Here is a 20,141-nt window from a genome sequence, read left to right as displayed (position 1 = left end):
TTGTCTGTGGCTCATCCTGCTACATTTCTTGGTTCCCTGACCAGGAAACGAGGTAACTCACGGACGGCTGAGGCAGCCCCTCAGACGGCTTAGACCTGCCCTGTGGAGCATCCCTGTGGGGAACTCCGGCCAGCCTGAGTGATGCAATCCAAAGAGCGCTCCCGGGTAGGAAATTGACCCGGTGGAACGCCTCACCAGAGCAGCACGTAGCAGGCCCCCACGGAGGATTAACACAGTGGCTGAACACCAGGAAGGAACCGGTACTTGGAGTCCGGACATCTGAAACTTGGTAAGACTAGTCTTTGGAACTTGCCCCACTCCATCTGAGTGGAAGTGTGGCCTGATCACCCACGACGTGCCTGCATTGGTACTTTTGTTCTGGTTTTGACTTGACTTAGATTGTGTGATACTTTGGTTTTGGTTTTGACCTGGCTTGGATTTCTGGATACTCTGATTTTGGTTTGGTGTAAACTGCAAAAGTGTGTGTGTGCCCTTTTTACCTGTTTTTTGTTTTGTGGGGTGTGTGTGGTGTAAGCGTGGTGTTTTGTCTCAAAGAAGCATGGGCCAGGCACAAATAAGCCCACCCTACTAGGAACTATGTTAAAAAAAAAATTTCAAGGAAGAATTTAAGGGAGATTACAGTGCTACTGTGACACCAGGAAAACTTAGAACTTTGTGTGAAATAGACTGGCCAGCATTAGAGGTGGGTTGGCGATCAGAAGGAAGCCTGGACAGGTCCCTTGTTTCAAAGGTATGACACAAGGTAACCTGTAAGCCAAGGCACCCAGACCAGTTTCCATACATAGTTACAGCTGGTTTTAGACCCCCTTCCCCTCCACAGTAGTTAAAATAACAGCAGCATAAGCAGCTGGCAGAGGCAAGTAAAGACCAGCAGAGAGAAAAAAAGGCCATCTATACCAATTCTAAGTTAATTTAGACTAAACAAGGTCTTATTAATAGCAAAGGATGATTGAAATCCCAAACTTACAAGGTTTTCAACAAAACTGAAGTTTGCTAAAAGTTAACAGTGTAACATGTATTATGGTAACTTCTAATCTTGTGGCCTTAGACAGTCTAGTCCAAAGACATAAAGAAAGTTTGCTTTAAAAAAAGGAATGGTTATCTTCAAAAAAAGGGTGAGGCAGAATTTATGTAAAGAGTGTTATATGGTAAATTCTTGTCCTGAAATAAATTAAGTGGTTGTTTAAAGAAAAAAAAAATGTTTGTAACAAGTCAAAAAGTTGAAACATGTTAAAGAATTGCTGGTGAAAGTCATGAAAGAAAAAATGTTATAAAAAATTTATGCAAAAAATGTTGTATAATTTAAAAGTAATAAGGCCTCCTGAAGACTATTAAAAAAAACAGTTTATGTGCAAGGTGTATGAGAAAAGTAAAATATACTTTTGGTAAAAAGATTATAAAGGGGCATAAAAATGTGGATTTTTATCTACATTAAAAGATTAAAAAAATTAATGTTTTAAAAGTTTAAGCAAGTTTTAAAACGTTAATTATAAAGAAAATTCTGTGTGTAAACATATTAGCTAAAGTTAAAAAGGTATCATCCAGTTTTTCGGTGAACTGGACATTAAAGTAAAAATGCAACAGGTTTTTCTTTAAGCATCAACCTGCTCTTTTACAAAAATTATAAAAGGTTAAAAAGAGTCTATAAAATCTTACCTTATGGTCAAACATGAAAAATTGGATAAATATGTCTACAAGGTTTTATTAAAATTAAGTTTAATATTAATAACACACTAATATAAAGGTAAAATTTAGCTTCTCTGGTATAAAAATCATACAAGAAATATTATTAAATATAAAATGGTGTTGAGTTTTCTTTGGTCTAAAAACTAGTAAAAATTGGTGCTAAAGGAAACATTCATTTTACTAGAGGATCATAAAAGTTAGACTTAAAACAAACTTTGGCAATTAAGACAGCACACCAAGATGCAAATGCCTGGTTGAAATGGATCAAATATTCCATCTGCACTTTAAACAAATGCAATTGTTATGCTTGTGCACATGGCAGGCCAGAGGCCCTGATTGTCCCCCTTCCACTAAGGTGGTCCTCCAGTCGACCAGGCGTGGGCTGCATGGTAGCTCTTTTCCAGAATTCTACAGCCTGGAGTAATAAGTCATGCCAAGCTCTCTCTGCTATATCCCGAAGTCCCTGTGGGTCAGCCCCCGAGGGCCATCCAGCTTCCGTCTCCCAACACTAAGTTCACTTCGTGTCTCTCATGGCAGGGAGGAGACTTAGCATTCCGTGGAGACCTGAAGGGATGCAGCAAGCTTAAGAATTTTCAAGAGCTTATCAATCAGTCAGCCCTTGTTCATCCCCGAGCGGATGCGTGGTGGTATTGTGGTGGACCTTTACTGGGCACTCTGCTGAATAACTAGAGTGGCACTTGTGCTTTAGTCCATTTGGCTATCCCTTTCACCCTGGCATTTCATCAACCAGAGGAAGAAAAAAAATAATAAGACATCGTAAAACGAGAGAAGCCCCTTATAGGTCTTTCAACTCTCACATCTATTTAGATGCAATCGAAGCCCCGCAAGGAATACCAGATCAATTTAAAGCTTAAAATCAAATAGTTAAAAGATTTAAGTCAGTATTTTGGTAAATGACAGTCAATAAAAATGTAAATTAGATAAACTACATCTATTACACCCAACAGCAAGAGCTTTTCATGAGTTAAAAAAAAAAAAAAATTCATGTCGGCCCCAGCCCTGAGGCTACCTGACTTGACAAAACTCTTTACACTCTATGTGTCAGAAAGAGAAAAAATGGCAGTTGGAGTTTTAACCCAGACTGTAGGGTCCTGGCCAAGGGCAGTGGTCTATCTCTCAAAACAACTAGATGGGGTTTCCAAAGGCTGCCCCCACGTCCAAAGGCCCTGGTAGCAACGGCCCTGTTAGCACAAGAAGCAGATAAGCTAACTCTTAAGCAAAACCTAAAGTATGCCCAGGCTGTGGTGACTTTAATAAATACCAAAGGACATCATTAGCTAACGAATGCTAGACTAACTAGATACCAAAGCTTGCTCTGTGAAGATCCCCGCATAACCATTGAAGTTTGCAACACCCTAACCCCGCCACCTTACTCCTGGTATCAGAGAGCCCAGTTAAACATAACTGTGTAGAAGTATTGGATTCAGTTTATTCTAGTAGGCCCAACCACCAAGACCACCCTTAAACATCAGTAGACTGGGAGCTGTACGTGGATGGGAGCAGCTTCGCCAACCCCTGCAAAGTGACTCTGAAGAAGACGACAAGCCCTGCTCCAGTCACACCCAGAAGCTGACTGGTCCACGCACGGCCGAAGCATGAGGAAACTCATCACAGGACTCATTTTCCTTAAAATTTAGACTTGTACAGTAAGGACTTCAACTGACCTTTCTCAGACTGAGAACTGTTTCCAGTATATATATCAAGTCACTGAGGTAAGACAAAAGATTGCCACAGTCCTATTATTTTATGATTATTATAAGTGTACCAGGACTCTAAAAGAAACTTGTTTGTATAATGCTATTCTATCCAAGGTATGTAGCCCAGGAAATAACCAACCTGATGTGTGTTATGACCCATTTTAAGCCTCCCATGATCACAGTTTTTAAAATAAAATTAAGGACTGGTCCTTTTCTAGGTGACACAAGTAAGGTAACAGCTAGAACAGAAGAAAGAGGGGTCCCAAAAATGTAACCTTAAAATTTGATGCTTGTGCCACTATTGATAGTAAGCAGCATAGAATAGGATGCGGTTCTCTAAATTGGAAAAAAAAGTTACACAGTAAAAAAAAATAAGTATATCTGTCAAGAATCATATTTATGTGAGATGTGTCAGTACTGGTCTTGTGTCATTTGGGCTACTTGAAAAGAAGATAAAAAAGATCCTGTTTAGCTCCAAAAAGGAAAAGTCAGCCCCTCCTGCACGAGTGGGAGCTGCAACCTTTTAGAATTGATAATCACAAACCCCTCAGACCCAAAGTGGAATTAAAAAAAAAACATGCAACATTAGGCATTGATGGAAAAGGACTAGATCCTAGTGTAAGCATCCTAATAAAAAGAGAGGTTCAAAAACGCTCTCCAGAAACAGTATTTCAGACTTTCTATGATGAACTAAATGTGCCAGTACTTGAGATTCCAGGAAAAACTAAAAATTTATTTTTGCAATTAGCCAAACATGTAGCCCAGTCTCTACAAGTCACCTCATGTTATATTTGTGTTGGAACCGTAACAGGAGATCAATGGCCATGGGAAGTCCGACACTTAGTTCCTACAGACCCAGTTCCTGATGAATTCTTAGCCCCAAAGAACCACCCTGACAATTTTTGGGTTCTAAAAGTCTCAATTATTGGACAGTATTGCATAGCTAGAGAAGGAAAAGGATTCACTCATCCTGTAGGGCGGCTTAGTTGTCTTGGGCAAAAGCTGTAAAATGGTACCACAAAAACAGTTACATGGTGGAGTTCCAATTACACAGAAAGAAATCCATTCAGTAAATTTCCAAAGTTGCAGACTGTTTGGGCCCACCCAGAATTCCACTGGGACTGGACGGCCCCCGCCAGGTTATACTGGATATGTGGACACAGAGCTTATGCTAAGCTGCCTGATCAGTGGACAGGTAGCTGTGTAATTGGCACCATTAAGTCATCTTTCTTCTTACTGCCCATAAAAACAGGTAAACTTCTGGGCTTCCCAGTCTATGCTTCCCGCGAAAAACGAAGCATAGCCATAGGTGATTGGAAAGATGATAAATGGCCCCCTGAAAAAATCATATAATACTATGGACCAGCCACTTTGGCACAAGATGGCTCATGGGGATATTGAACCCCCATCTACATGCTCAACCGAATCACACAGTTACAAGCTGTTTTAGAAATTATTACTAATAAAACCGGTCAAGACTTGACTGTTCTTGCCTGGCAAGAGACTCTGATGAGAAATGCTATCTATCAAAATAGACTAGCTCTTGAGTACTTGCTAGCAGCTGAAGAAGGTGTTTGTGAAAAATTTAACCTTACTAATTGTTGTCTACACATAGATGATCACAGGCAAGTAGTTGAGGATATAGTTAAAGATATAACAAAACTGGCACATGCCCCCATGCAAGTGTGGCATGGACTCAATCTGGGAGCCATGTTTGGAAATTGGTTCCCAGCAATAGAAGAATTTAAAACTCTTATAATAAGAGTAATAATAGTAATAGGAACCTGCTTACTGCTCCCTTGTCTGATACCTGTATTTCTCCAAATGATAAAAAACTTCGTCACTACCTTAGTTCACCAAAATGCTTCAGCACAAGCATACTATATAAATCACTATCAATCTATTGCACAAAAAGACATAAGTAGCAAAAATAAGAGTGAGAACTCCCACTAATAAAAAGTGAGAGTCTCAAAGGGGGGAAATGAGGGAAGAGAGAGACCCTCTCATATTGTTTTATATGGTTTTATACTCAGTACCCATTTTAAGAAAAAACAACAAGGAAGTAAAACCAAAGACAGGCAGCCCAGCGCCAGGCCCGAAACCACGCCTGGCCTGCCTGGCCTAAACCCAGCAGTTAAAACTCAACTCATAACTTAGAAACCGATGTCATTCATAGATTCCAGACATTGTATAGAAGAACACTGCGAAACTCCCTGCCCTGTTCTGTTTCTCTCTGACCACCGGTGCATGCAGCCCGTCACGTACCACCTGCTTGCTCAAATCAATCACAACCCTTTCATGTGAAATCTTTAGTGTTGTGAGCCCTTAAAAGGGATAGAAATTGTGCATTTGGGGAGCTCGGATTTTAAGGCAGTAGCTTGCCGATGCTCCCAGCTGAATAAAGCCCTTCCTTCTACAACTCGGTGTCTGAGAGGTTTTGTCTGTGGCTCGTCCTGCTACACTGGGACTATGATGGAAACATGAACTCCAATCCCCACCTCACGTGAGCCACAAAAATCAAAACCAGGTTAATCAAAGGCTTAAATATGAGGGACAGAAAGGAGACACTGAAGAAACTGAAGGTTACAATTTCATCTAGATATTTTTTATGAAGTTTAGCCTGGAGGTGTTTATGCCTTGACCAAGGAAGTTGCTCCATTTCATGATTTCTGGACTCCTTTTCTCTTTCATTATTTAGCAGGGATGACCCCCTAATGAGAGCTTTGATCCACCAGGAGTCACAATCATTATACAGTGACTCCCTCAGGGATCCTTGGGTATGGGACTTCTGCCTCTTCCCTAAACAGCTGTTTAGCTTCAATGGCATTTTAAATTCTTGAGCTGATTCTACAGTTTCCCTGCCTCCTTCCTCTTTGCCAGATTGCACTTCTTACTGGTCTCGTCTGTCTGCTGCTCCTAACATGGGGAGAGGGCAGGCCCAGCTCATGGACCACTCCTAATCTACCAAGGGTTGAGAAAGGGCACGACCAAGCTGTCAGCACTGTCTACAAAAGAGGCTTCCCACAGAAGAAAGAGACCAGGCTTTGTGACATTTAAAAATGTTCACTGTTTGGCCAGCATGGTGGCTGACACCTATAATCCCAGCACTTTGGGAAGCTGAGGTGGAAGGATCACTTAAGGCCAGGAGGTCACGATCAGCCTGGGCAACAAAGCAAGACCACTCGTCTCTACAAAAAATAAAAAAAATTAGCCAGGTGTGGTGGCATGCACCTGTAGTCCCAGCTACTCGGGAGGCTGAGATGGGAGGGTCACTTGAGCCCAGGAGGTCAAGGCTGCAGTGAACTATGACTGCACCACTGCACCCCAGCCTGGGTGACACAGTGAGACCCTGTCTCATAAATAAATAAATAAATAAATGGTCAGGCACAGTGGCTCACGCAGGTAATCCCAGAACTTTGGGAGGCCGAGGCAGGTGGATCGCTTGAGTCCAGGAGTTCGAGACCAGCCTGGTCAACATGGAAAAACACCATATCTACTAAAAATACAAAAATTATCTGGGAGTGGTGGTGGGCACCTGTAATCCCAGCTATTATGGAGGTGAGGCAGGAGAATCACTTGAACCCCAGAGACGGAGGTAGCAGTGAGCTGAGATCATGTCACTGTACTCCAGCCTGGGTGACAAGAGTGAGACTCCATCTCAGAAAAAAAAAAAAAAACGAAAACAAACAAAAAAATAAAATGTTCACTTTTGGGCTCTATGCCCAACAAGTGAGGTTGCTGGACTGTGACTACAAGGACACCTGAGCTGTAACTGTGTCCATGCATCTCATTTTCTCTTGAGAAGACTAAAGAACTGACCTTTAAAATAAACACAGCTCCATGGTGGCCCCTTTCAAAGTCATCACCTCAGGAGGCCACACACGTGCCTGAAGGATGCTGCCTTGGCTTGCAAACCTCTCAAGCTCCCCCAGAGTAGCCTTCAGGGTCCCCTCCCCGCTACACAACAGCAGCCAGCTTTGCTAGCAGTCACTTCTATGCTTCTCTCCCACTGACAGTTACTGTGAGTGAGCCTCTGCAAGTATTAACAGCGCCTAATTAATGCAGTGACCCAGGATACAGCGGTGACAAACTCCTCACCCTCCAGGTAGGGCCTCTGTGGCTGAAAATCTTACAATGGGCTGGTGAGGGGGAGGGGGCAGGCAGGGTTAATGTAAGCTGAGCCCAGGAGTCCAACCGTTGCCTTCTCAGTCATCACTGCACCTCAGAGCCAGCAGAGGGCAGCCGCAGCACCTCTGGGCTGGTGTTGGCTCTCTTCATCAGTGGGTCAAACGCTGTACAAAAACAACTCACCAAGTTCTCCAGGCCCAGAGGTAAGTGTGTATAGGAGACATGCCCAAACATTTGCAGCCCTATACACGGGTGCTTACAATCTTAGCCACTGATACAGACAAACACAGAAAAGGAAGTTTTTCATCTAAGCATATAGACAAGTCGATGATGAACATATTAATTTCATTTACTTAAAAAGATATTGGCTGGCCGCGGTGGCTCACGCCTGTAATCCCAGCACTTTTGGAGGCTGAGGCAGGTGGATCACCTGAGGTCAGGAGTTCGAGAAAGCCTGACCAACATGGTGAAACCTCATCTCTACTAAAAATACAAAAATTAGCCGGGCATGGTGGCACATGCCTGTAATCCCAGCTACTCAGGAGGCTGAGGCAGGAGAACTGCCTGAACCCGGGAGATGGAGGTTGCAGTGAGCTGAGATCATGCCATTGCACTCCAGCCTGGGCAACAAGAGTGAAACTCCATCTCAGAAAAATGGAAAACAAAAACAAAAAGATACTGTATGGAGTCAAAAAAGTTGGGCAGTGGAAAGTGTGAACATTCATATGCTGCACAAATTGGTGCACGCCTCTGCGAGGTACTGAGAAACTTAAAAATGTCCATCTCTTTGGCTCACCTATTTGGTTCTAATAATTTATTCGAAGAAAATAATCACAAGTGTGTGGTGAAGACTTATCTACAAAGCTGTTTAACTCAGCACCTTTTTAACAGGTTAAAGCTAGGAACAACCTAATGCACATGGCCAGGAGAAAGGCTACATAAAATATGGGCATCCACTCGAGGCATCAGCGGCAGCCACTCTGTGATGGTGAGGTAGGATGCTAACACGGGAAAACGTCCACCATACAGTGAAAAAAGGTCTCAAACAGCAAGCGCACAGTGCTCCAGCTTTTGATTCAAAAAAAGTATGTATTGGCCAGGTGTGGTGGTTCACCCCTGTAATCCCAGAACTTTGGGAGGCTGAGGCAGGCAGATCACTTGAGGTGAGGAGTTCAAGACCAGCTGGGACAACATGGTAAAAACCCATCTCTACAAAAATACAAAGATACAAAAATTAGCCAGGCTTGGTGGTGCGCGCCTGCAGTCCCAACTACTTGGGAGCTTGAGGCAGGAGAATTGCTTGAACTGAGGAGGCGGAGGTTGCAGTGAGCCAAGATTGCACCACTGCACTCCAGCCTGGGTCACAGAACGAGACTGTGTTTCAAAAAAAAAAAAAAAAAAAAGGGTGTATAATTATTATTTTTTGTTTGTTTTTAGACGGGGTCTGGCTCTATCACTCAGGCCATGTGATCATAGCTCACTGCAGCCTCAACCTCCTGGGCTCAAGCGATGCTCCCACCTCCGCCTCCTGAGGAGCTGTGATTATAGGCATGTACCACCATGACTGGATAATTTAAAAAAAATTTTTTTTTTTTTTAGAGATGGGGTCTCGCCATGTTGCCCAGGCTGGTCTCAAACTCCTCCTGTCTTCAAGTGATCCTCCTTCTTCTGCCTCCCAAAGTGCTCAGCTGTATAATTATATATATTAAAAAGACAGGAGGGCTGAGCACAGTGGCTCGCACCTATAACCCCCGCACTTTGGGAGACTGAGGCGGGAGGATAACTTGAGCCCAGAAGGTCAAGGCTGCAGTGATGAGCTATGATTACGCCACTATACTCCAGACTGGGCGACAGAGTAAGACCTGGTCTTTAAAAGAGAAAAAAGGCTGGAAGAATTTATATCAAAATGTAAACAGTGGTTATATTTCATTGGCAGTTACCGATGATTTCTTCTTGGTTTATATTTTCCAAGTTTTCTACAATAAGAATGTATTACTTTAATAATAAGAATAATACCATAAAAGTTGTTAATAAGGAAAGAGGATACTTGGAGTTCTGGGGTGCAGCCATGGAAAAGTGGGAAGAGTTTGGGGAGCCGACGGTGGTGCTGACTTGCTAAGCCCATACCCTGTAGGATATCAGTTACTGACAGCTCCTGGAGGCTTTGTCCAGGGCCAGGCAGGCTCTGCTGGTTTCAGCAGCAGGAGCATTTAGTAGCTTCTACTTACATCTCCTGTCCTAGATAAGCTTCAGGTCAAAGACAGAGTAACAGAAATGGTTCCTGTCCTTAATGAAGCTGACAAAGGCATACAACCTGCACGGGGAGGCAGCAGAGCAACACACCCACAAAAAGCATGCGTTTCCGCAATTGTGCTGGGCAGAGGACACCAAAAGACATTTTTTGTTTAAACTTTTTTTTTTTTTTTAATAGAGAGGTCTCCCTATGTTGCCCAGGCTGGTCTCGAACTCCTGGGCTCAAGGGATCCTCCTGTCTCGGCCTCCCGAAGTGCTAGGATTACAGGTGTGAGCCACCATGCCTGGCCAACATTTGTGATTGAGCAGAGAATGTATATGTCTGTGTATAGAGGCAAAGGCTAGGGTCCCAAAGAGTTGTCGAAACCTCCCGTATTAGGATCTCCTGGGGTGCTGGTTCAAAAGACAGATTCTCAGGGCCTACCTCACACCCATGGAACCAGTTACAGGGGCTGGGCTGGGGTATGTACTTGATCTGACTTAAGAACCTATTTGTAAACACAGCAAAACAGGAGTGGAAATGGCATGCCCAGCCACATCTTAACAAACAGTTCAACACATGGTCTCCAGAGGTGCTGCTGAGAGCTGATTTGGGAGGGAAGAGAGCAAGAGGGCACTACGTCTGGGCTGGAGGAGGATAATGATGGTGGATGCTGTGGTTTGGCCTCAATAATGAATGGTGTCTGGTGATATCACCCCAAGGGAGGGCACCGAAAGGAGAGTGGGAGACAGAGCATTTAAGGTCCTCTCCAAGTTGCCCAGAGCTGGTGTGCATCTATGAGTGTGAGTGTGTATGCGTGTGTGTGTGTTTACTCCCACCACTCAATTCACACTGCTGAACTCAGGATGGCTACACAGAAGAGGAGATTCCAAAAACACAAGGAAGGATGGCAGACCCTAGCTGAATAGATCCCACTGCCTCACACAGTGCCTGGCCCAGCGCGGTTCTCAGCAAGTACCTGCTGAATTGAGAAAGGAACTGACCGAGGCGCCGTGAGCAGGTGGGGAGGGGTGGAGGAGTTACAGCTCCTGCAGCAGCAGGGAGGCAGGCGGAGGCAGGGGAGAGGTCTGCAGCGGGCTGGCCCCTCCTTCAATTCTTGATCTCAGACCCCAGGAGATGGTTCTTGTGACTTCAGGGACTGGAATAAGTGAGCCACTGGGATGTGACACCAAATCTGAGACCAGCCAAAGGGAGCAGAGATTTCCCCAGTCAGGCCACCCAAGCCAGGAAACAGCCCTATTTATACCTGCGGCAATCCCCAAGCTGTTCCACACTCGGTTACCAAGTTCTGTCCCCAGGCCCTTACTCCAGGGATGGGGCCAACAGTGTCCTTCCCAGATGCACCGATTATGTGACAAGTCTGGGCTTGCTCTGGCTGGTGTGAGAGACACGGCTCTCACACCAGACGGGAGAAGGCAGGAACAAGAGCCTCCTTGTCCCAACAGCTGGCCGGCAAGGGCCCTCTGGCCAGGATACAGACTCGAATCTCTTGTTTCTCTCCTCCCACCCCAGCAGTCACAGCTGAAACACAGGTAGTCTGAAGTGTCCCACCTGGCAGCGGGAACAAGGGGTCAGGAAGAACACAGGGCCCAGAAGAAGGATCAGCCCAGGCGGGGAGGGGGGAGCCAGGGGGTGTGGTGCCCAGGTAATCCCTTCAGGAAGCGCGATATTTATAGTTAGACTTAGCAGAGATGACCCTCAGAGCCTAGGTAACTTTTGAAGGGAAAGTGCTGGCCCAGCTCTGGTCAGCTGGGGCCTCCCATGCTCTGGGATTTGGTGGCCTCTTTACAGGCCTGTGGGCCTTTCCTCCTCTCGGGCCCCAGCTCAGGGAGGGAAAGGGGTGGAGCCAGTTGCTAAGTGATGGGCCAGGCTTCTTACCGGGCATCTCTAGAGGTACAGTGGGTCCCAGGTGGTCCTGAGCAGAGCTGAAGGATCAAGGCAGGGTGGCACCCCTGAGAGCCCCCTTCTCGGCTCTAGGATGATGCCCAGCCCATGGCAACAGAAATTCTCTGCAATGATCTTGTTTGTCTGCCTGAGGCTGGGACATCCTCCAGTTCATCTTTTTGATCCTACAGACAGAGTTAATGCCTGGCATGCTGCACGGGCGAGTGAAATGGGCAGGCAGTTTAGGAAAAGAAGGAGGAGCTGGAGAGGGGAGGCACAGATCAGATGGGAGAGTAGACAGAGCTGTCTGCAAGAAACCCCTGCAAAGGGGGAACAGAGGACTATGTTTTGTGAACAAGCCTCACTGAATAGGAAGAGGCAGAAAGAAAGGGAGTGGGTGGAGGTGGGAGTCCAGGAGGGACAAAACCAGTCACTGAGGTAGGTGTACAGTGAGGAAACCTGCTGGAGGAGGCAGGCCCGGATCCTCTGTGGCCATGAGAGAGACAAAATTGCAGCCAAGAGAAACAGACCTACCCAAGGCCTCAGTGTGCGGGCAGCCACAGATACGGACAAGGGGGCACACATGCGTGAGACAGGGTGTGCTTTCATGGTGCTGCATACAACGTACACATTCACGGGGTCGGCTGCCTGGCTGGGCTCAGGGAGAGCAGGCCTTTTTCTGCTCTCTGGTCCGTGAGTCCAGCCTGGGGGCCCTGGCCACATCTGGCCGGGCTCGGGGAAGGGTGGTCTCCCAGAGCTGGGCACTGACCAGCCATCCCCCGACCCATTTCCAGAGGAAAACTGGCCTATCTGATATCAATTACAAACAGAGCCCCCAAATCTTCAGGATCTAACTCTAGGGTTTTCGTTTAGTCTTTTTTTGAGACGGAGTCTTGCTCTGTTGCCCAGACCAGAGTACAGTGACGCAATCTCAGCTCACTGCAACCTCCACCTCCTGGGTTCAAGTGATTTTCCTGCCCCAGCCTCCCAAGTAGCTGGGATTACAGGCGTGTGCCACCATGGCTAGTTTTTGTATTTTTAGTAGAGATGGGCCAGGCTGGTCTTGAACTCCTGGCCTCAAGTGATCCGCCTGCCTTGGCCTTTCAAAGTGCTGGGATTATAGGCGTGAGCCACTGCGCCCAGCCTGACTCTAGGGTTCTATCCTGCCATGCAACTAACATGTTTTCTGAGGCTGCTTTGGAGAGAATACTATACTTCACAAGCAGAGTAAGACATAGGTGGGAATTACCGCACTTCCCTTGTTTTAAGCACCTATGTCCCTTTCCTGCAGTCAACACACTCTCATCTTTGCCACGTACTGATGTGTTTGCTCTCAAGTGCAGCCAGAGTCCTGGCTTGAATACGAGCAGTTCCAGCGTTAGCAGCTCTGGAGGGAACCCTGATTACATGTGCTTTCTGGCAACCTGGATCATGGATAATTATGTATGTGTAAAAAGACACTGTAGCCTCTCTCTGCAATCTGGCTACTCACATGTGGGCTTCAGAGATGGACAGTGGGGGTTTTCTTTGGCTGCTAACCACCTTTGTGACCACGGGTGGATGACCTCACCAACCTAAGCTTTGGTGTTTCCATCTGTAAAAAGAGCATGTAACTCCCACCTCATGGGACTGCTGTAAGGATTAAGTGAGACCACTCTGCCCAGTGCTGAAAAGACAGTAGCTATTGTCATTGGTAACCAAGCCGAGTCAGTAATGCTTTAACCATTACACAATTAAAGGTTACTTTTTTTTTTTTTCATAAAGTTGCTGTGATTTTGAAAAATGAAAACTGCGAGGCTGGGCGTGATGGCTCATGCCTGTGATCCCAGCACTTGGGAGGCCAAGGCAGGTGGATCAACTGAGGTCAGGAGTTCAAAACCAGCCTGGCCAACATGGTGAAACCCCATCTCCACTAAAAACACAAAAATTAGCCAGGCGTGGTGGCATATGCCTGTAGTCCCAGTTACTCAGGAGGCTGAGGCAAGAGAATCGCTTGAACCCAGGAGGTGGAGGTTGCAGTGAGCCAAGATCACGCCACTGCACTCCAGCCTGGGCAACAGAGCAAGACTCTGTTTCAAAAAAAAAGAAAAGAAAAGAAAACTCCTGCCATAGGGATGTCTTGGTCTTTATTTCGCGGTGCAGCAGAACGCAGGGGTTAAATGAGGTCAAGCTCAACAGGGACAGAGAGTGGGCTTGATGGATGTCTGCCTCCTTGTGCTGGTTGCACAGCGTAGGGTCAGCACTTTTCCTGGGGCAGAAGAGGGAGGATGGTGGCTAATAAATAAAACAGGAACTCCCCAGAGGTTGCTAGAAAGGTCTCCTGTATCTGGCTGGCTCCCTTTGCTACCTCAGGACTCCAGGAAGGGGAGGTAGGTTTTCTCAGCCACTGTGCTTTTTACTGCTGGACATAGCAGTCCAACCTCCCTCACTGCTGGTAAAGATGAGGACCCAACGGGCACCGGCACGGCAGCCAGGTGCCTAGAAGCGAACGGCACAGCCTGACTTCTGACACTGGGACTCTGTCCCACTGGGTGTCAACTGCCACGAGCGCTCAGACATGCACCACTCCAAGGGGGCATGTCCCCCGAGTATGGCAGAGTCCTGAAGCTGGGAGCGACCTTAAAGTCTTCTGCCCTAGCCACTTTATTTTACAGACAAGGAAACCAAGGCTGAAAGGTGATGTGACTTGTCCCAGACCCGACAGCTGTTTCCCGAGAGAGAGACGGAGACAGAGACAGACAGAGAGAGAGAGAGAGAGTGTGTGTGTGAGGTGGCAGTGGGGCACAGTAAATTCTTTCTGCCAAACTACTCCACCACCAGTGGAAGCTGAATTATAACTAGAATATGAAAATATCAGGAGCTGAATGCACAGCTCTGAAGAATATGCCAATGGGAAAAGCAGCAAGGAAAACACGCGGCAGGAGCAAGGCGGGAGGAGCTACCAACCTCCCATTGCCCACTAGAGAGGAACAGAATCTAAGAGCTGAGCCCTCCCAGGACAGCTGGGCCAGTGCTATCCACACCTGACTGCGTGCCCTGGTCTTCTGTCAGCTTTTTTTTTTTTTTTTTCTGAGACAGGGTCACACTCGGTCACCCAGGCTGGAGCGCAGTGGGTGATCAGGCTCACTGCAGCCTCCATCTCCTGGACTCAAATAATCCTCCCACCTCAGCTTCCCCAGTAGCTGGGACTACAGGTGTGCACCACGACATTCGGCTAATTTTTTTGATTTTCAGTAGAGATGAGGTTGCACTATGTTGGCCAGGCTGGTCTCGAACTCCTGAGCTCAAGTGATCCGCCCACTTCAGCCTCCCAAAGTGCTGGGACTACAGGTGTGAGCCACCATGCCTGGCCCTCCTGTGGCCTGACAGAAACACACACCTAGGCACCAGCTCAAGACTCTAATTCAGCATGGCTGGCTTGGAGCTCAGTGATGGAGACTCACCAACTACCCCACAGTCACCCCAGCTGGGGGGCAATTCAGCCTCTGTGCACCTCCTGAACTGAGGTGTTCACCATGCCACAAAGAAGCCTATTCCACTGTTGGATGAAGCTAATGGTTAGAAAGTTAATGGTGGCTGGGTGTGGTGGCTCACGCCTGTAATCCCAACACTTTGGGAGGCTAAGGTGGGTGGATCTCTTGAGATCAGGAGTTTGAGACCAGCCTGGCAAACATGGTGAAACCCCATCTCTACTAAAAATACAAAAATTAGCCAGGCATGGTGGCACATGCCTGTAGTCCCAGCTACTTTTGGGGCTAAGGTTGCAGTGAGCTGAGATTGCGCCACTGCACTCCAGACTGGGTAACAGTGAGACTCTGTCTCAAAAAAAGAAAAGGAAGTTAATAGTAATTATAGTTACCCTTTACTGAGCTACCTGGCAGGCCTAGAACAGAGACACGCAGGTGCTGAAGGCACAGGTTCTGTCCTCAGGCAGACTTGGGCTTGAACATCAGCTTCATCATTAACTAAAGCGCTAAGTGACCTTGGGCAAATGCCTTAAGCATTCTAGTCTCTTCTAGGAGGCAGGGAGTGTTCCCAGCCACACATCTAAGGGAGATTAGGGGGATTAAAGATACACACAAATATAGTCAAGAAGATTATCCTAATAAATCACCTAACACATACGTGTTATATATTATTACACAGAACAAATCACCTAACAGCCCAGGCGATGTCCTAGCACCAAGCCCCACAAGGCTCTTGCTTAAGACACACACACACACACACCCACACACACACACCCACACCCACACACACACACACACACACACGAGCCCCATACTTACCAGAGAATAGAAAGTAGGTCTTTTTTTTTTTTTTGAGACGGAGTCTCGCTCGTTGCCCAGGCTGGAGTGCAGTGGCGGATCTCAACTCACTGCAAGCTCTGCCTCCTGGGTTCATGCCATTCTCCTGCCTCAGCCTCCTGAGTAGCTGGGACTACAGGCGCCTACCACCATGCCCAGGTAATTTTTTTTTTTTTGTATTTTTAGTAGAGATGGGGTTTCACCACGTTAGCCAGGATGGTCTTGATCTCCTGACCTCGTGATCCACCCACCTCAGCCTCCCAAAGTGCTAGAATTACAGGTGTGAGCCACCATGCTTGGCCGGAGAGTAGGTACTTATTACTGTCATCATACGGTTGACCCTTGAACAACATGGGTTCGAGTTTTCTTCCACCTCTGCCACTGAGACAGCAAGACCAACCCCTCCCTTTCCTCCTCCTCAGCCTACTCAACATGAAGACAAGGACAAAGATTTTTATGATGATCCACTTCAACTTAATGAATAGTAAATATATTTTCTCTTCCTTATGATTTTATTTATTTATTATTTGGAGACAGGGTCTCACTATGTTGCCCAGGCTGGCTTCAAACTCCTAGGTGCAAGTGATCCTCCCGCCTCAGTCTCCCAAAGTGTTGGGATTACACGCATGAGCCACTGCCCCCGGCCATGATTTGCTTAATAACATTTTTTTTTCTCTAGCTTACTTTATTGTAAGAATACAGTATGTAATACACATAATATACAAAATATGTGTTAATCAACTGTTCATGTTATTAGTAAGGCTTCTGGTCAAAACTAGGCTATTAGTAGCTAAGTTTTTGAGGAGTAGAAAGTTTGACATGGATTTTCAACAGCATGGGGGTCAGCATTCCTAACCCTGCGTTGTTCAAGGGCCAACTGCAGTCGCTTTTGTCATTATTATTAACATTATTATTTTGATCTGAAATCCATCAGCTCTGCTCTCTGGAATAACACAGAACAAGTCACAGCCTCTTCAGTGGAGTTATCTGACACTTTTCTGCTCTCCAGGCTGAAGATCTCCATTCCCTCCTGCAGTTTCTCCAGATTCCTTTTTTTTTTTTTGAGACAGAGTTTCTCTCGTCACCCAGGTTGAAGTGCAATGGCGTGAACTTGGCTCACTGCAACCTCTGCCTCCCAGGTTCAAGAGATTCTCCTGCCTCAGCCTCCTGAGTAGCTGGGATTACAGGTGCTGGCCACTACACCCAGCTATTTTTGTATTTTTTTAAATTTTTTTAGTAGAGACGGGGTTTCACCATGTTGGCCAGGCTGGTCTTGAACTCCTGACCTCAGGTGATCTGCCTGCCTCGGCTTCTCAAAGTGCTCGGATTACAGACATGAGCCATTGTGCCTGGCCTTTCTCCAGATTCTTTACCGTCTCACCCATCCTTGTTTCAACTAACTTAACAGTCCAGATGTGGCCCATCCAGCACCAGGCCCCACCGGGCTCCTGCATACTCCATCTGAGCACCAGCCCCCTGCTCCACAGCAAACACCACAGCAAATCTGCCCACAACTGTTCGGGCTGGAGGTAGAAAAGACCCCGTAATTTTCATAATTACATAATTTTCACCCTGGTTGTGGTTCCTAATTCTTGCAAGCCTTATAGTTCATTTAGTCCACACCCCAGCAACAGGCTCTAGGTTACTGTCTTTCTGTCTTTCAGGTCTGTGTCTTCAGTGGGGTGAACTTGGGGTCAGAAGACCTGGGTCCATTTCCATCAGGACCTGCTGTGTGATCCAGGGCACGGGGCTTCATCTGTCCAAGCACATCTGCCAAATGCAAATGCCACTCATCAGTCTGCCTTACAGAAATGCCAAAATACTCCAGGGAATTTCTGTACGAAGTGTGAAGCGCACACACAAATGCCTAACATGCCGAGTCCTGGGAACCCCATCTTTTCAAGGCTCACCCGCTCCTTCATGTGGCATGGCTCAGGACCACAACACTGGGTTTGTGGAACAACAGAGAAGCACATTCATTCTCCTCCCAAGCCAGGCTCGGGCCATGCAGGCAGCTGTGCCTGACTCATCCCTTCCTCTTCCTCCTCCTCGGCCCATGACTCACCAGAGCTGTCAGACCAGCATCCTCCCTGGTTTCCTTCCCAAGCCATGCCTGGTCAGGATGCAGGACTGAAGCCCTCTTCCCACCAGGCGCTCCCCGCTCTCCCCAAGTGTCTCTTCTGACCCTCGGGGTCCGCATTGCACTCTAGCATGACTGTTCCCTGGGTGTTGTGCTGTGCTTGCAACTTCACTGTCACCTCTGGGAGGGCAGGCTCTTGAGAGGCAATCCAGTGTGGTCCACCAAAAACATGGTTCCTGGAGCCTGCTCCCTGGGATTCTGACTTACTTGCTCTGGAGTTTGGGAGCAGCAGAGAGGTTTAAAAGCTCTCTAGGTGATTCCAACATATGGCCAAGGCCGAGAAGTGCTGATCTAGAACCAGGCTGCCCAGCTGGCTGGCTGCTTTGGCTGGGTTTAATGAGGCCTCTGCGAGGGTTCTATGCCTGTGCTATGCCTGCATGAGGCTGACCATATGGACAGCCCTTATAGCCAGGGTGGTCAAAAGGCAAGAAGCAGGTGGCTCAGGGGACCCTCTGCTTAGGGAAACCCAGCTGCCCTGCCCAGAGGATAATCCCACTTTATAGACAGGAGAGGGCAAGCCGACCGGCCAAGAGCACAGGCTTCGGAGTCAGACAGCCTGGGACTGCAGCCCTGCTCTCCTTCCCAACAGGGAAGGCCCCTTCACCCTCCGCCTCCTGACTAAACTCAGCCTGGGGCCCAGTCTTTCCTGCCCAGTGTGGCCCATGGGACACTCTCTTTAGTGGGAACATGAAGGCCTCTTTTTCCAGGGCTGAGCCAGGGCCCTCCAGATAGAAAATGAGCAGCTCCAAGACAAGGGGATGAGTGGGAGAGCAGAGGGAGGGAGGTCCTGTTTCCTAAGAAACCCCCCACTCCCTCCCCAGCTGCTCTGGGCACAAAGAAGGGAAAAACCTGACTCATCAGTGCTGGTGTGACTCACAGGCCAACAAAACTGGCTTGCCAGACTGGTTGGGAGGGGAACCTGCTGCTGCCACCATAACTCGGGGCTGTGGGCAGGTAAAGCCCATCCCTCCATCCCTCTGGCTGTAGAGGACGCATCCTGCCCACCGCCAGATGCAGGGCCTGGGTGGTGGGCCTGGCTGGGGCACCACTCTCAGCCTGACCCCCGCCCTGGAACAGCCACAGCTGCTTCAGGAACTTATTAGCGAGGGGCGGAGCTGGGAGGGAAGACAACTCAGAGGCTTTGGAACACAGAGAGGTGGCTTTAAGAATCAGAGAGGAGGCCGGGCGTGGTGGATCATGCCTGTAATCCCAGCATTTTGGGAGGCCGAGGCAGGTGGATCACCTGAGGTCAGGAGTTCGAGACCAGCCTGGTAAACATGGTGAAACTCCATCTCTACTAAAAATACAAAAAATCAACTGGGTGTGGTGGCAGGCGCCTGTAATGCCAGCTACTCGGGAGGCTGAGGCAGGAGAATTTCTTAAACTAGGGAGGCGGAGGTTGCAGTGAGCCGAGATCGCACTACTGCACTCCAGCCTGGATGACAAGAGTGAAATTGCATCTCAAAAAAAAAAAAAAAAAAAAAAATCAGAGAGGACCTAGGTCTAACTCCCAACTCCACCCCCTCACAGGTGTGACCTGGAACAGCTGAACCTCTGGAACAGTTTCCACATCCATAAAATGGGAGCAATAATATCCTAATATCCACCTAGAGGGACTGCAGTGAGGACTGCAGTGCTGTGTGGAGCACACAGTAGGAGCTTGAAAATGGTAGCAATTACTTACTAGTTGTAGAAATACCAGTTTTATGATTATAAGGAGTTTTTTGTCTTTTTTTTGAGACAGGGTCTTGCTCTGTCATCCAGGCTGGAGTGCAGTGGTGTGATCATAGCCCACTGCAGCCTTGACCTCCTGCGCTCAAGCAATCCTCCCGTCTCAACCTCCCAAAGTAGCTGGGACTACAGGCACATACCACCACGCCTGGACAATTTTTAGATTTTTTGTAGAGATGAGATCTGCCTGTGTTGCCCAAGCTGGTCTCAAATTCTTGGGCTCAAGCAATCCTCCTGCCTCAGCCTCCCGAATTGCTAGGATTACAGGCATGAGC

General features: G+C 47.4%; 1 protein-coding gene and 1 long non-coding RNA gene across 2 annotated transcripts in view, besides 5 other annotated features; one reads left to right on the top strand and one right to left on the bottom strand.

The window, feature by feature from the left end:
• The window catches only part of UBTD1 (ubiquitin domain containing 1), a 72,283-nt gene that overhangs the window by 9,857 nt on the left and 42,285 nt on the right, over window positions 1-20,141 (bottom strand). The window lies entirely within an intron of this gene.
• On the top strand, window positions 22-19,598 carry LOC124902488 (uncharacterized). The gene is made up of 3 exons (XR_007062259.1): window positions 22-289; window positions 7,442-7,530; window positions 17,660-19,598. It is a non-coding gene; the product is annotated as an uncharacterized LOC124902488 (long non-coding RNA).
• Window positions 7,175-7,676: an enhancer, noted in NCBI's record as "NANOG hESC enhancer chr10:99313431-99313932 (GRCh37/hg19 assembly coordinates)". NCBI's record gives its function as "activates a minimal SCP1, AML or CMV promoter by ChIP-STARR-seq in primed H9 embryonic stem cells {active_cell/tissue: H9 hESC(primed)}" and the evidence as "EXISTENCE:reporter gene assay evidence [ECO:0000049][PMID:30033119]".
• Window positions 7,546-7,625: a silencer, noted in NCBI's record as "silent region_2681". NCBI's record gives its function as "represses an Ori minimal core promoter by ATAC-STARR-seq in GM12878 lymphoblastoid cells {active_cell/tissue: GM12878}" and the evidence as "EXISTENCE:reporter gene assay evidence [ECO:0000049][PMID:35858748]".
• Window positions 9,468-9,968: an enhancer, noted in NCBI's record as "H3K27ac hESC enhancer chr10:99311139-99311639 (GRCh37/hg19 assembly coordinates)". NCBI's record gives its function as "activates a minimal SCP1, AML or CMV promoter by ChIP-STARR-seq in primed H9 embryonic stem cells {active_cell/tissue: H9 hESC(primed)}" and the evidence as "EXISTENCE:reporter gene assay evidence [ECO:0000049][PMID:30033119]".
• Window positions 18,488-19,099: an enhancer, noted in NCBI's record as "H3K27ac-H3K4me1 hESC enhancer chr10:99302008-99302619 (GRCh37/hg19 assembly coordinates)". NCBI's record gives its function as "activates a minimal SCP1, AML or CMV promoter by ChIP-STARR-seq in naive H9 embryonic stem cells {active_cell/tissue: H9 hESC(naive)}" and the evidence as "EXISTENCE:reporter gene assay evidence [ECO:0000049][PMID:30033119]".
• Window positions 19,100-19,712: an enhancer, noted in NCBI's record as "H3K27ac-H3K4me1 hESC enhancer chr10:99301395-99302007 (GRCh37/hg19 assembly coordinates)". NCBI's record gives its function as "activates a minimal SCP1, AML or CMV promoter by ChIP-STARR-seq in primed H9 embryonic stem cells {active_cell/tissue: H9 hESC(primed)}" and the evidence as "EXISTENCE:reporter gene assay evidence [ECO:0000049][PMID:30033119]".

The sequence above is a fragment of the Homo sapiens genome, chromosome 10 (genome assembly GCF_000001405.40).
Source record: "Homo sapiens chromosome 10, GRCh38.p14 Primary Assembly".
NCBI lineage: Eukaryota > Metazoa > Chordata > Mammalia > Primates > Hominidae > Homo > Homo sapiens.
Note: the sequence above shows the minus strand (reverse complement) of the source record. Positions and strands in the feature narration are given on the sequence as shown.